Source organism: Homo sapiens, chromosome 10 (assembly GCF_000001405.40).
Source record: "Homo sapiens chromosome 10, GRCh38.p14 Primary Assembly".
Lineage (NCBI taxonomy): Eukaryota > Metazoa > Chordata > Mammalia > Primates > Hominidae > Homo > Homo sapiens.
In genome coordinates this window covers 74,077,858-74,093,165 of record NC_000010.11, presented here as the reverse complement: position 1 = coordinate 74,093,165, position 15,308 = coordinate 74,077,858, and the positions used below count along the sequence as shown (strand labels likewise).

The 15,308-nt window shown below is 39.3% G+C and overlaps 1 protein-coding gene across 2 annotated transcripts in view; it reads right to left on the bottom strand.

Moving 5' to 3' along the window:
- Window positions 1-15,308, bottom strand: part of VCL (vinculin) — a 123,248-nt gene that overhangs the window by 28,198 nt on the left and 79,742 nt on the right. For both annotated transcript variants that reach the window (NM_003373.4, NM_014000.3), the window contains exons 7-10: window positions 10,622-10,712; window positions 9,653-9,800; window positions 3,817-3,970; window positions 2,968-3,143 (exon numbers count right to left, since the gene is read on the bottom strand). In NM_003373.4, coding sequence (NP_003364.1) covers window positions 2,968-3,143; window positions 3,817-3,970; window positions 9,653-9,800; window positions 10,622-10,712 — 569 coding nt within the window. The remainder of the gene's footprint in view (window positions 1-2,967; window positions 3,144-3,816; window positions 3,971-9,652; window positions 9,801-10,621; window positions 10,713-15,308) is intronic.

Here is a 15,308-nt window from a genome sequence, read left to right as displayed (position 1 = left end):
ACCACCACACCCAGCTAATTTCTCTATTTTTAGTAGAAACGGGTTTTCACCATGTTGACCGGGCTGGTCTCGAACTCCTGACCTCGGGTGATGTGCCCACGTCAGCCTCCCAAAGTGCTAGGATTACAGGCGTGAGCCACCGTGCCCAGCCTTCATTCATAAACTACTATACATTTGGTATCACATAATCCCCAGTCCTTGCCATAACTGATTAAACTGGGTGGTTATCTACCTCAAGGACAACATACCCACAGTCAGGCAAGGCACTCAATTAGATTCTGGGGGTTCTCAAAGTCCAGTGTGGATAAAAGTCACTGGAGATCTTATTTTTAAATACAGATTGTTAAACCCACCATCAAAAGCGATTCCAATTAAGTATGTCTGCGGTGGGGTCAAGGGGTCTGCATTTTTAACGACCTTCTCAGATGATTCTTAGGCAGATAATCCTGGGTCCATATTTCAAAAACACTGCATAGTCAACCAGTGATGGTATCTGGAGCTGGAAAGTGATTAAGCCTGGGCCGTGGTAGCTCACAGCCAGAGACAAAACCCCCAGATAAATAAACTAAGTCAACACACAGGGTGAAACAGACATAGAGGATCCCACACAGCGACTAAGAGGTGGAGGGAGGGGCTTCCAGTTGCCCAAGATCTGGCCACATTCAAGCTATTGGGTTTGATGAGGTGCCTCTATTTTCAATAATCCTCTACTTTTTACTTGACCAGGTCCTTCCAACCAAAGAACCTCAACCAAGTATCAACACAGAAATAAAAAGACAACCACAATTATATCACAAAGAAAAAAACTGCCCCCAACACCTTATTCCAAAGACTTCAAATTCTAACCATTATAAAAATACAAAGAATCTGACTCATTTTCCATCTCAGGTCCTCTCAGCCATAGAAAGGTAACTTTCAGGCTAACTTTATCTGTCTCATCTGTAAAAATAAAAATAATAGGCCAGGTGTGGTGGCTCACACCTGTAATCCCAGGACTTGGGAGGCTGAGGTGGGTGGATCACGAGGTCAAGAGATCAAGACCATCCTGGACAACATGGTGAAACCCCATCTCTACTAAAAATACAAAAATTTAGCTGGGCGTGGTGGTGTGCGCCTGTAGTCCCAGCTACTCGGGAGGCTGAGGCAGGAGAATCACTTGAACTTGGCAAGCGGAGGATGCAGTGAGCCAAGATCACGCCACTGCACTCCAGCCTGGCAGCAGAGCAAGACTCCGTCTCAAAAATAAATAAATAAATAAATAAAATACATACATAAATAAAAATAATAGCCCATCCGCGCCAGAACAGCTAATTTAGATACTCTGTCTCTCTCTTTTTTTTCTTTTCTTTTCTTTTTTTTTTTTTTTTTTTTTTTGCTGAGACAGAGTCTCACTCTGTCACCCAGGCTGGAGTGCAGCGGCACAATCTCAGCTCAATGCAACCTCCACTTCCTGGGTTCAAGCTATTCTCTTGCCTCAGCCTCTGAGTAGCTAGGATTACACACCCACCACCAGGCCTGGCTAATTTTTGTATTTTTTTTAGTAGAGACAGGGTTTCACCATGTTGGCCAGGCTGGCAGGCTGGTCTTGAATTCCTGACCTCAAGTGATCCACACGCCCTCAGCCTCACCAAGTGTTGGGATTACAGGCCTGAGCTACCATGCCCAGCTTAGATACTCTCTTAAGAGTTCCTTTATGATTCTAAATTTTTATAACATTCTCCTTTATAAAGGTGAACAAAGAGGGTCTTTAACATGATTCTGATCGTGGCTACTCCTGGCAAGAGGTTACATAGATGTATGTTTATGTGTGTGCTATAGTATTAAGTAATGATGGCATGAATGACCACACATGAAGGTCTGCTGTTAGCACCATTACCATTCATTACCTCTTCATCATTAAGAAACATTAAAGAGTACCTAGTATGTATATGGACTTCCATTAGGTCCTAAGAGTATAGAGAGCAACTTTTACATTTGACATTAAACCCTTCCTTAGTGTTATTTTAGCATGTGCTGCAGGGGTTTTTTTCTTAAAAGTGAAAAATATCTATTGAAAGAAGAAAGCAGTTAGGTGCAGTGGCTCATGCCTGTAATCCCAAAACTTTGGAAAGCTGAAGTGGGAGGATAGCTTGAGCCCTTGAGTTTGAGACCAGCCCTGACAACATAGCAACACCCCGTCTCTACAAAAAATAAAAAAATTAGCCAGGCATGGTGGCACGTGCCTGTAGTCCCAGCTACTCCGGAGGCTGAGGTGGAAGGATGGCTTGAGCCTGGGAGTTCAAAGCTGCAGTGAGGCATAGTCATGCCGCTGCACTCCAGCGTGGGTGGTAGAGTGAGACCCTATCTCAAAAAAATAAAAATAAAAAATAAAAAAAAAAAGAGGAAATACCCCTTTTCCATATCATCAAAGTAGGTGCCATGAGAGACTTTAGGAGAGGAGGCTGTGGGGAGGCTGTTGTTACAAGAAAAATCATCCAGGAAATGTAATTTAAGTATCTCCTATACTTGCTACTTACAAAATATCATTGCTGGGGAAGGAGGAAAGTACATTCTTACGCTTCTTCCCCTCCATATACACATAGGAGTCTTTTCATAGCTAGCCACAAAAATTATTTTCCTCTTATGTATGGGAAACAGATAGGTCATAAACATGATGTATCAAAGAAAGCCCTAGCTTAGAAATTTAAAAAGCATCTCAAAAAAGGAGTTCTTAGCATCCTAAATTTATCAATTTATAACTATGTGACCAGCAATAAATCATTAAACCTCAGTTACATCACTGATACAGCAAATTAACATCTGACCTAGAATTAATGAGAATATAGTGGAAGAGCATCATAAGTGCATTTAACCTAGGGGAATTGAAATATGTATGTTCTTGGGGGAAGAAAGAAAGAAAGGGAGAGGGAAGGGAGAGAGAAAGAGAAGAAAAGATATGAAAAGGCAATGTAAGGGTTAAATACATACTGTCTTCGTAGATCTGCTAATTTAGAAGTCAGAGCAGATATTTCCCCAAGGGAACGTAGAATGTCATCTCTTTCTTTAGGATCATCACATAATTCTGCTATTTTCCGAGCTTCAGCCAAAGCACCTCGAATCTGCTCTTCTCCTTCCGGTCCACCATTTGGATCTGCAAGCCAGTTCTACACATAGAAACGGAGAAGCAGCACGCTGTGATCTACTCACACACTCCTTTCTACTAAACTTAACAAGGCCAGAAGAAGGATTTCAAAAGTAATATACCAGTAATCATTTTTATAATTCTGATCTTTATTATTGTATGGAGGTTCTTAGATAAGAAACTCAATCTCTCATCTTTTTAAAATCAATTTTTTTACACCCATTAGCATAAAATATTTTCCCAAGCTTTATCTCATCTCTGAATTAACCACACCTTATTAGTTCCTCAGTTCCTCAAACATGTGTGTTTGTGAAATGCTTGAAAATCATTTTACAGTAGAGCAGTATCGGAAAACTTTAACCCCTAAACATTACAATGACCCAAGAGTTGTGAATTCTGGGACAAGGAATAGTTCCAATGTACTGCAATCTTCCCTTGGTACTCTGAGAGCTTACTTTTACCTAACTGAAGTGCTGTAAATTAAGATCTTTATTTCAAAATATAGATAAACATTTGTCTAAACCTGTGGTGGTAAAGGAGGTGTTAACATTGGTAAGTGCTGGAAGTCACTCATCACTTAGAAACCATTATCCAACCACAGTAAATGATAAGAGACAGAGAAGAAAGATAGGATATTTATGACTTAGGATATTTATGAAATATTTCCCACCCCTCCTGAAAATCACTGTGACTACCTGAGCAGCATCGATCTTCTTTGCAATGCTCTGCTTTGAGTTGGTCATGGCTTCCAGCTTGCGAGCTGCATTTTCCACTTTTGCTGTGAGCACATCCAGACCCTGAGATACCTGCTGAGCTTTCTGCATGGCCACCGGTGAGGATCCTTGTCCTCTGCTCAAAACAGACACATGCTGTCATTGTACACCCTCAAATACTTAATGACAAAATATTCCCAATAGCACAGTACATGTGGTTTTCATGAACATGCTTGGCTTTTTCCTTTTTCCCAGTAAATCTGGGACAGCACAAGAAAACAGACATAAACAAAGCAAGACGCCCAAATCAAGTACTTTTTCTTTTAAAAATGCACATTAGCTTCACGGAACTGCATAACCACTTTGAAGACCAGGCCAGCAAATTTTGATAATTATTCTCCTCTTGGTAGTGATTACATAATCCAATCTAAACTTCAGTGGGAAAATGTGCTGGTGATCTTATTGCTAGGGAGGGCTTTGTTACCATAGTAATGTGTGCTTCTGAAATAAATAGTCCATTAAATTGTCTTCTTATGGGCAAGTATACATTGAAAATGTTTCAGGAGGAAGCACGCATAGTGTTAATGAAAGTGTACCAGACTGGGAACAAGCAGATCTGTGTTCAAATCTTGACTCTTGGTACCTGTGGAACCTTGTTTATGATGTTTAACCTCCCTGGGTTTCCATTTTCTAACTTATATAGTGAAGGTAACATATAATGAAGGTAGGTAATACATTTTCCCCACTTATCTTATGGAGTGGCTTCAAGCATCAAAATAATATACTTGAAAACACTGGCAATAAAAATCTATCATTATTACTGAATTATCATCATTTTTATAATGAACCTAATGATAATCTTAAATGCCTACCTTCCTCCTAGGCAACCTATAAATATATAAATAATCGAAACTAGCTAATACTGAGCACATGGTGATAGGAAACCACTGTTTCCCATCAAGTTCCTAAAGAACTGATTTCACTATTTTCCTCTCTCAGAAATGATATGCTATTACTACTAAAAATGATATGAGTTCATGGAAACTTGTTTCTCTATTTACTTTCCCTATTTACTTGTTTTCCTTATTTACTTTCCAAGTCACAAAGTATGATTTGCCCTCATTTTACAATCCAGATTGTTTTAATCCAAGCAGGCTGGTAAACTCAATGATAGGGGCAGTAACTTTACCATTTGGTAGAATGGCATGGCTGATTATCCTAATCAGAACTTCTATTTTTAGGATAAACTCCAAAACACCTTTGCTTCCCTTCATAATAGTATTGATCTGTCATTCATCTATCTAGCCTCTGTGGGTTTTTTTATTTTTTTTGAGACGGAGTCTCACTGTTTTCCAGGCTGGAATGAAGTGGCGCGATCTTGGGAGGCAGTGGTTGCAATGAGCCAAAATTCTCCTACCTCAGCCTCTCAAGTAGTTCAAGCAATTCTCCTGCCTCGGCCTCCCGAGTAGCTGAGATTACAGGCATGTGCCACCATGCCTGGCTAATTTTTGTATTTTTAGTAGAGACGGGGTTTCACACTGTTGGCCAGGCTGGTCTTGAACTTCCGACCTCAAGAGATCCACCAGCCTCAGCCTCCCAAAGTGCTGGGATTACAGGTGTGAGCCACCACACCCAGCCTATCTAGCCTCTTTTTAAAATTCTTCTGGTTTTCGGCCAGGCGCGGTGGCTCACGCCTGTAATCCCAGCACTTTGGGAGGCCAAGGTGGGCGGATCACGAGGTCACGAGATCGAGACCATCCTGGCTAACACGCTGAAACCCCGTCTCTACTAAAAATCCAAAAAAAAAAAAAAAAAAAATTAGCCAGGCGTGGTGGCAGGCGCCTAGTAGTCCCAGCTACTCGGTAGGCTGAGGCAGGAGAATGGTGTGAACCCGGGAGGCAGAGCTTGCAGTGAGCCGAGATCACGCCACTGCACTCCAGCCTGGGCGACAGAGCGAGACTCCGTCTCAAAAAAAGAAAAAAAAAAAAAAAAGAAAAACCTAAAAAAAAAAATAAATAAATAAATAAATAAAATTATTCTGTTTTTCATCTATACCAAAACTTGAGGTAATGAATCATTCATTTATTGCCGGGTATATAAAAGGTATATATACACTTTTTCCTTGAAGTTGAGGCCTTCCTTTTATGTGGCAGAAGAGGGGAAGACTTTTAGGAAACATAGTCTTTAGGATTTAATGTGCTTTTTTTCTTCAAATCTACTACTTCATGATGAGAGATCTTTTTGTTAAAAGAGTCCAACTGTATATTACAAAATAATAACTTCTCTGAGGCTGGAAATTTAGAAATTTTTTTTTTAAAAAAGAGTCCAACTGTGAAAAAGTAAAACTATTTATGGGCTACACAGTTTTTTCATTCAAAACAGAAAGATTTTATTGAGTCTCATGGGGGTAAAAATATATACTAGCAACCTAGAAACCCTGTGTGACTGAACAGAATATCAAGAAGAAATTGTTACCGCATTTCAGCCACTAAAATATTAAACAGCTGGGTACACTTAAGAAAGGACTACAGGGAGATAACTTTCTAATCTTTCATCAGGAAAGGATATTGCAGGCTCCACTGTGAAGCAGGACCATAGTTACCCTTCACTGTTCTAGCCTTTTCTCTTTACAGATTAATGGTGGAACCCCTACAATAACTACCTCATTCTCTTGCTCATACTCATCTTTCTCTAAACACATACAACTGTGTATTTGAGAATTCCAAGTGAAAACTGGCTACCACACTGGGAAAAGGTTGCAGACAAAAGACACAAAAGTGAGAAATCAGAAGAGCCAAGAATCCTATCAAACTGCACTGGCATTTCTCCGAATGAGAACAAAACTTCTTTTTGTCCTTTTTGCAAAGTTCTTACCATGCTCATGACAGAGGAGACTGCTTCTCAGCAGGAGAAAAGATTCACTGAACTCAATGGGATCACATTTATTTAAGCTGTTTCTTTCCCCTTCAACATAGAGACGCAACCTGAAAGTCCTGGAGCTTCCAGGGCTGCAGGGAATCCAGGAACCTCTAGAAATTATACATAATATTGTATGGGCATGTTTATATGCATCTTTTTAGGTAAGGATGAATGTTTTCATCAGATGATAGAAGTGATCTTGGTCCACAAAAGGTTAAGAACCACGCCTTTAAGATCCGCATTCTTGGCCAGGCACAGTGGCTCACACCCGTAATCCCAGCACTTTGGGAGGCCGCAGCAGGCGGATCACCTGAGGTCAGGAGTTCAAGACCAGCCTGATCAACATGGTGAAACCCCGTCTCTATTAAAATACAAAAATTAGCCAGGCATGGTGGCGCATGCCTGTAATCCCAGGTACTCAAGAGGCTGAGGCAGGAGAATGCCTTGAACCCAGGAGGCGGAAGTTACAGTGAGCCAAGATCATGCTATTGCACTCCAGCCTGGGCAATAAGAGCAAAACTCTTGTCTCAAAAAAATAAAATAAAATAAAATAAAAATAAATAAATAAGATCTGCATTCTTATGTCTATTGCACTAATATTGGAGACCAGGTATAATGGTGCACTGCATGTAGAGGAGTGTTTCTGAGCCCTGTTTGTATGTAGACCCTGTGTATCCTAATTATCTCATGATGTTTCATGAGTGTCTCATCCTATTCCAAGTTTTCGTAATGTCCATACCATAAAATTCTATAAAAATCTTTTAGAACTTCATTATCACTATGGATGAGTTCATCTGTATGAATTCCAAACAAATTTATATTATATTGAGTTTTCTCAATAGCAAACTATGTTTATTTAGTTTATGGGGAGAAAAGCTCTAAAGGCCAAGGCTTTAGGAGGGTAAAAGGAAGGTAAATAATTATGAATCCGAATAAATAATCATGAAAAGGAAACTCAAAAAAGCCCAGAAATTACCAACTTAGAGGATAACCTAGTTAAATGATTTTTTTATGAGGTGAAATAATTCCAATGTTTTCACGCTATGTTTCTTTCTCCCCATCCTCCGTAAAATGTATTTACCCATGCCAGACTTCACCACTGCCCCTTTATTTTTCATAAGCCTATGGCTAGTAAATTAGAAACTAGATTTGTGTTTCAGTTTCAATTACGGAACAAGTTTCAACTTTACTATTAGGCATTTGTGTATTTTAAAAGTTCAAGCCAGGAGTGGTGGCTCACGCCTTTAATCTCAACACTTTTGAGAGGATCACTTGAGGCCAGGAGTTTGAGACCACAAAACATAGCAAGACCTTATCTCTACAAAATATTGAAAAACTAGCCAAGCATAGTGGCACATGCCTATAGTTCTATCTACTCAGGAGGCTGAAGAAGGAACATTGCTTGAGCCCAGGAGTTCAAAGTTACAGTGAACTATGATCATACCACTGCACTTGAGCCTGGGTGACAGAGCAAGGCCATGTCATTAAAAATAAAAAATTTGGCCGGGCATGGTGGCTCACACCTATAATCCCAGCACTTTGGGAGGCCAAGGCAGGTGGATCACCTGAGGCCGGAAGTTTGAGACCAGCCTGACCAACATGGAGAAACCCCGTCTCTACTAAAAATACAAACTTAGCCGGGCATGGTGGCGCATTCCTGTAATCCTAGCTACTCAGGAGGCTGAGGCAGGAGAATCACTTGAACCCAGGAGGCGAAGGTTGCAGTGAGCCGAGATCGCGCCATTGCACTCCAGCCTGGGCAACAAGAGCGAATCTCCCATCTCAAAAAAATAAAAAAGAAAAAGAAAAAGAAAAAGAAAAAATTTGGCAGGTCATGGTGGCTCACGCCTGTAATCCCAGCACTTTTGGAAGCCAAGGCAGGTGGATCACCTGAGAGTTTGAGACCAGCCTGGCCAACAAGGTAAAACCCTGTCTCTACTAAAATTATAAAAAATTAGCCAGGTGTGGCAGCCCATGCCTGTAATCCCAGCTACTTGGGAGGTTAAGGCAGGAGAATTGCTTGAGCCTGGGAGGCAGGGGTTGCAGTGAGCCGAGATTGCACCACTGCATGCCAGCCCGGGTGACAGAGCGAGACTCCGTCTCTAAATAAATAAATAAATAAATAAATAAAAACATGTTTTAAATAAAGTCAGGCCAGGCATGGTGGCTCACACCTGTAATCCCAGCCCAACCTGGCCAACCTGGCAAAACCCCATCTCTACTAAAAATACAAAAATTAGCCAGGTGTGGCCGGGCACAGTGGCTCACTCCTGTAATCCCAGCACTTTGGGAGGCCAAGGAGGGTGGATCACGAGGTCAGGAGTTCAAGACCAGCCTGGCCAAGATGGTGAAACCCCGTCTGTACTAAAAATACAAAAATTAGCTGGTCGTGGTGGCGGGCGCCTATAATCCCAGCTACTCGGGAGGTTGAGGCAGAGAACTGCTTGAACCACGGAGCTGGAGGTTGCAGTGACCCAAGATCGCGCCACTGCACTCCAGCCTGGCAACAGAGTAAGACTCCATCTCAAACAAACAAACAAACAAACAAACAAAATTAGCCAGGTGTGATGGCGGGCGCCTATAATCCCAGCTACCCGGGAGGCTGAGGCAGGAGAATCTCTTGAACCTGGGAGGTGGAGGTTGCAGTGAGCCAAGATCGCACCACCGCACTCCAGTCTGGGTAACAGAGTGAGACTCTGTCTCAAAAAATAATAAATAAATAAATAAAGTCAGCAAAGGGAAAGTTCACCTCCATCTCAAAAGAATTTAATAGACTATAATATCTCTGTTATCTACTAGCCAAAGAGATAACTCAAAACTGGCAGAGGCTTGTTTTCTGAATCACCCTGTTAGGAGTGAGTTACCCACTACTGCTCTGTAAGGACAGAGGAACTTTTACCTGGCACGGAGGTCAGCCACTTGATCAGTCATCTGCCCTAGCATTTTGCAAGTTCCCAGAATCTCCCTGCGTTCTTTGCCTGCACAGAGTTCACCAACTTTTCCAGCTTCATCTAAGATCTGTCTGATGGCCTGCTCACCAGCATCCCCTAAAATAAAGAGATATTCAATAACTACATTGTTGACACATTCATTATTTAGAGAGGATACTTTACAAGTCATTTCATTCACCAAGGAATGGATGATTTTAAACAAGACGAGTGAATAGAAGGCAACATATCTGATAGCTAACAGCCAAGCAGTGCCCTTAAACCATAGGGTGAGGTTTCAACAACAGACACGCAAAAAAAGATACTTGGAACTGTATCTATTTGGAGATACTAAGTAGCTTGTGGTAAGAATATGGATGATGAAAACAGACTCTAACAATTTAATAGTATTTAGCACCTCCAACCTACTTTAGGTTTTTCACATTCATTCAAATATTAATCTAAAACAGAATAAATATTAGATTAGAAAATCAATAAAGCCTAGTTCAATAACCTATTTGGGTCTTATCTTTATACAGTCAACTTTCCAATTCTCATTGGCATCATGATTTAATCTGCTTAATTAAGAACTCTGTTGACATAAATGGAAGTCTGCTCAATGGGAACTGGAAGAGAAGAACTTTCATTCAAAATAATTACCTTTTGGATTCAGGGAAGGGGAGAACCAAAAATTTTGCAAAGAATGCCCAGCTCAGTATGACTTACTCCTCCGTGATTAGAGGTGATCGAATCTATTCCCTTCATCCTTGTAAGGCCTACTACTTGCTTCAGTTACTCAGAACTATCAGATAATGGGGTATGCCCCATAATGTTACAGTAGTTCTCTCAGATGATGAGATTATGGGAAAATTTCTTTCTTTCATTTGCTTGGTTTTTAGCTTCTCGTTGTATTGATCAGAAAAGCAGAACTAGAGGGTTACCTGGGGAGGCACTAGGGTCACGGAGCCAACCTTTGGCCTGGTTCAGTTTGGAGTCTATGGAGGCCAATGCTCTCTTCATGGCTTCAGTGTCCTTTTGGGAAGAAATCCCACCATTATTTTCTTTGCAAAAGTTGAGATACCATGATAGAACGTAAGACAGAGAAGAAGTTACAGCATTAACATACATAGCTAAGGTAGTCAGTCCTACGAAGGCCTTAAAAATATTGTCACCACACCACAATTCTCATTTCTGTCAAAATGCAGCATCTTGCATGCAAATATTCAGTTAATTCTACTCTGTTGCTAAACAGAGTGGAATTGGGTTCCCTATTGCTAAAACTGTGAAAACTGGTAAAATTGCTCAAGCCAGAATATGTTTAATGTCTTCAGCAGGAAAAAGCCCTGTTGTCACATGCCTCATTGTCAGCCTTTCCACTAGTCAACATTCATCTACTGCAGCCTTGCCAAAGCCCTTCCCACCTCAGGGAAGCCTCGTTAGTATGTGGTGCCACAAATCACAGTTCTTTTACATCTTGTTTTGAAATGCACACACTGGATGATATTTCACTATATTCAATTAACCTGAAAAACTTGGAATTACTGGTTGGAAGAAACAATTGAAAATGTTAATCTAGCAGTTTAATTTTAATTCTACAAATAAACCCCTCAAAGTAATATAATTTAGAAGTGTTTTCTGACCTTCCCTGCTATTCCTCCTTCTTAGTTCCCTTACTATCCCTCACCTGGAAGAAGATGCAGGATAGAATAAATGGGTCTCAGCTTATTTTTTACAACCAGGATTCACGAGGACTATCAGGAAACTAGCATAAAATCTCCCAGGATACACCAGGAGAAGCTGAAACAACAGACTAATCACTTTAAATGTATTTAAGTATTTCCGTAAATTTTTTTAAACACATAAAAACACAGAGAACAATATAACACCAGCCATCTCTTAAGTCTCTATTTAGCATCTTCAAAGACCATCTATCCTCCTTTTTGCTGTAGGAAACTGACTCTTACAGAGTTAAGCCATCAAAGCACAAAGTTAACCTCTAAAATTCTAGGCAATGTCCTAGCTTCCTTCAGTTTCCAATCCTGCACAACTGGGGTTCTTAAAGGTGTTGCACCACTAGTTTTCCACACGGGGGCACCAGGAGCATCCCCACTTCCAATTCAAAAAAAGATACAGCACTATCACAAATAAGCATTGGCAGCACCCATAGTTAGGCTCAAGGTCCACAACTGTTCCAAAGCCCCCTATTCAAAAGACAGATCTCTCAACTGTCGGAATCCCTCCTTCCCCTTCTAAACAGACACAGATGATTCTCCTGTTGAATCCTTGGCTATCTAAGGCTCTAAATAGCAAATTCTCAGCTATAGCAATGAAAAAGAAGTGAACTAAATTACCAAAAAAATTGAAAACAAAATATTTTTATTATCAAGTTATATGTAACCATGGTAGCTGTCAATAAAAGGCAGAATCATAAGAGGATCTATTTCAAAATCCACTTGTAATTAGAAGAAGATATGTGGTATTTTTAAGTGCTTTGATTCTCAAATGGTTTGAATATCAGCAAATCTCTCCTATCATGTCTTAAATTAATTTGTGCAGAAAACGTTGCCTTCAAAATTAATGCAAAGGTCAACTTTAGCTTAATTCCAAATTAGCAAGGCCTGAATCAATAACTTTTTAAAAGACTTGAGGCCAGGCAACTCCTAACCTCAGAGAACTGGGTAGCCTTCAGGATCTAACACAAGTTATCTAGGCATAGGTTTTCTTTTAATCACAAACTCTTACTTAGGAAGTGTGTGGACATCCTGGAGAATAATTATGTCAATGTAAAAATATTTCACTTAAAACCTGTTAAACCATTTTCCTAACACACTTTTATTTTCAGTGAGAAAAGCAATAGGTATTTATTACATTTCAAAAATCTAAATTCAAAGGGAAACGAAGGTCAGAAATTTTTATGTCTACTCTAACATTAAAGGCTACTAGTTAGGAAACTAAATTCAACTGACATGCATTGAATTTAATATGCATTCCCTGCATGTTAGGTTCTGTTTTAGCTACTTTCCCCCTCCTTACCTCATTGAATCTCAAATTTAAATGTCATTTAAATAATACTACAAATTAAGAAACAGGAACTGACTCCTACAAACCTAATTTGATCTCAGGTTTGTTGACTCCAAACCTCATTGCTTATCAAATGAAACAAGATTTTTTTTTCTTTTACCAAGGAGAGTTGCTAAAGATTCTACTAATCTCCAACAATAGTCAGCAAATCTCTGCCTTGTCAGTTTTGACTTTGGTTAATACTGCAGAGAAAATAAGCTCCAGAAATCAAATTCATAATCTACACTAACAAAAATGACTGCTTTTATTCTCCAATGCCCAAAAATGATTTGAAACACAATGGAAAAAATAGTTTTTGTCTATTCAGCATCCTCAAAAATCATTTCTTTTTTTCTCCTTAATAAAGCTCTAATGGCCAGTACTGCAAGGAAAGAATGTAATTCTCAGGAAGTGAGTAATTTACTGCTCAGTGGGAGGTGTGACACCGTCAAGAAGTTAAAATTAAGAGATGTTCATTTTCCCCTAAAAGGAACCAATAGCCAATTTTGAATGAAGCTGCATTTAATAACTGCGACTTTCAATAAGTTACCAAAATTTTTAACAGCATTAATTTTAGACAATTTCAGAGATTTAAAACAATAACTGAAAGAGCCATCTTAAATTCTTTCTGGAAAACAGTAGGTTATAAGTAACCATTTTATGTTAGTCATATCTAGTAAAAACAAACATGTCTAAGGGAATTTTTTTCTCCTAAGACTTTCATATATATTTCTTTTGAAAGGCAATATTTATTATAGAATTGACAGAATTCTGTCATAAGCATGTAAGTATACAAACAATGAATATGACATAAACAAATTCACTGGACAACTAGGACAGAAGTCAATTTGGGGATATATTTATAAAGGGTGAAAATAATCGTAACCCTTGTGGTCAGCCATGCTTTGTACCACAAACCATTTTGCTAAACCTTGTCATGTAGGTCTGTATATTTCAGGTCAGTATAATTCAGATATGAAATAGAAGAGAGAAAAACTGCACCTTCATTTGAGTATTCTTCTCTGTAAAAGCTCAACTTTGGGAAAAAGAAAAGTCTCTACCAATTTCTTATCTGTTTTTGGTTTGTTTTTCAGGGGGTTTGTGGGTGTTGAAAGAGTGAAGTATAAAAAGACCAGGTCTAGTCATGTGGCTTTGGGGACAGCTGGCCTGAATCTATCTGGGTCCTCCCCCACCATGTTATGCTCCTTCTTAACATAAAATTCTTATGAATTCATGTTTTAAATGAAAAAAATACAGTGCCTTGGCACTCTTCCCTGCATACCAAAAGATGGAACGACAAGCTAAACCATTTGTACGTGCTTTCCTAGGAACTGAAACACTCCTTAAATTAAACATAGATTTAGGCCTCAGAACACCTGTGAATAATAATGACCTCCTTCTATGGACAATCAAGAGGAACTTCGGTTAAAAAAGTAAAGTCCTGCAATCCTAGGCTCTTGAAAATTTTAAATATGGGGAATAAGAACCTCTCTCCATGACTGCCCACCATACTCTCCCTTCTCCCTCCACCAACACCTGTCTTCCCACTCCATCCCCTTTCTAACCTCATTTCCACCTGCAAGTCAATGTTTTAAACCAGATGTTTCTGGTTTAAGATGTTTCTGGAAAGTATAGATTGGGCAGTAGAACAAAATCTTACAAACTACATTTAAACAAGAGAAAGTTGTCTAGTCCTGAGACTTCATGCAAGTTACCTTCTCTGGGTCTCAATTCCTCATCTCTAAGAATACCTTCCTGGCTCTAAAAATCTATGCTACCTATGAGTGCATGATCAGATGTACTAGCCAAAGATAACTTAGATCAGAAGGGAAACATCAATTTATTTTGGGATTTTCTCCTCATGGGGAGCAGGGAGATAAAATATCATAAATGCCTGAATTAACTATTTCTCTCAAGCTCTTAGAGATCTTTCATTCTATTAGCTGCTAAAAACAAAACACTAGAACACTTGCTCATAGAAAGCCCACAAATGACCTTTTTTTAATTTAACAAATCAACTCTTAAATCCCAGTGGTCTGCAAGTAAGGGGGTAGTATTACACACTCACAAGTTCTAACCAACATTTCCTGCCTTAGTTAAGTTTGCTAATCTTCTGTATAAGGCATCTGAGTCACTTACTACTTTTACCCACCACCAGCCCAGGACCACAGTGGGGAGAGACCCACCACAGGAACTAATTCTGAATAATAGAATTTAATGATTCACGGTGCAAAGCTGCAGGAGTGCCTATGTAGGGTTCAAAGTCTTAGCAGTGAAATTTTTTTTTAATTTTTTATCTCACTTCCTCTTAATTCTCAGCATGCATCAAGATACAAGTAATATAAATACCAAAAAAATTAAATGTAGAGCACTAAATTTACAAAGGGTAGAATTAGAATTGTGTTTAACTCAAATTCTTTTAATAAATAATGTATTTTCAGAAAAAAATGCTAACCTAATTTTTAATGATCACTATAAAATGATTGTTGATTTAAGAAAAGGAAACTTTTTACTTTTAAAATAAGTGAAGTGTTTAAAGTCAAAGTTACTTTTAAATTTGTAAATGTG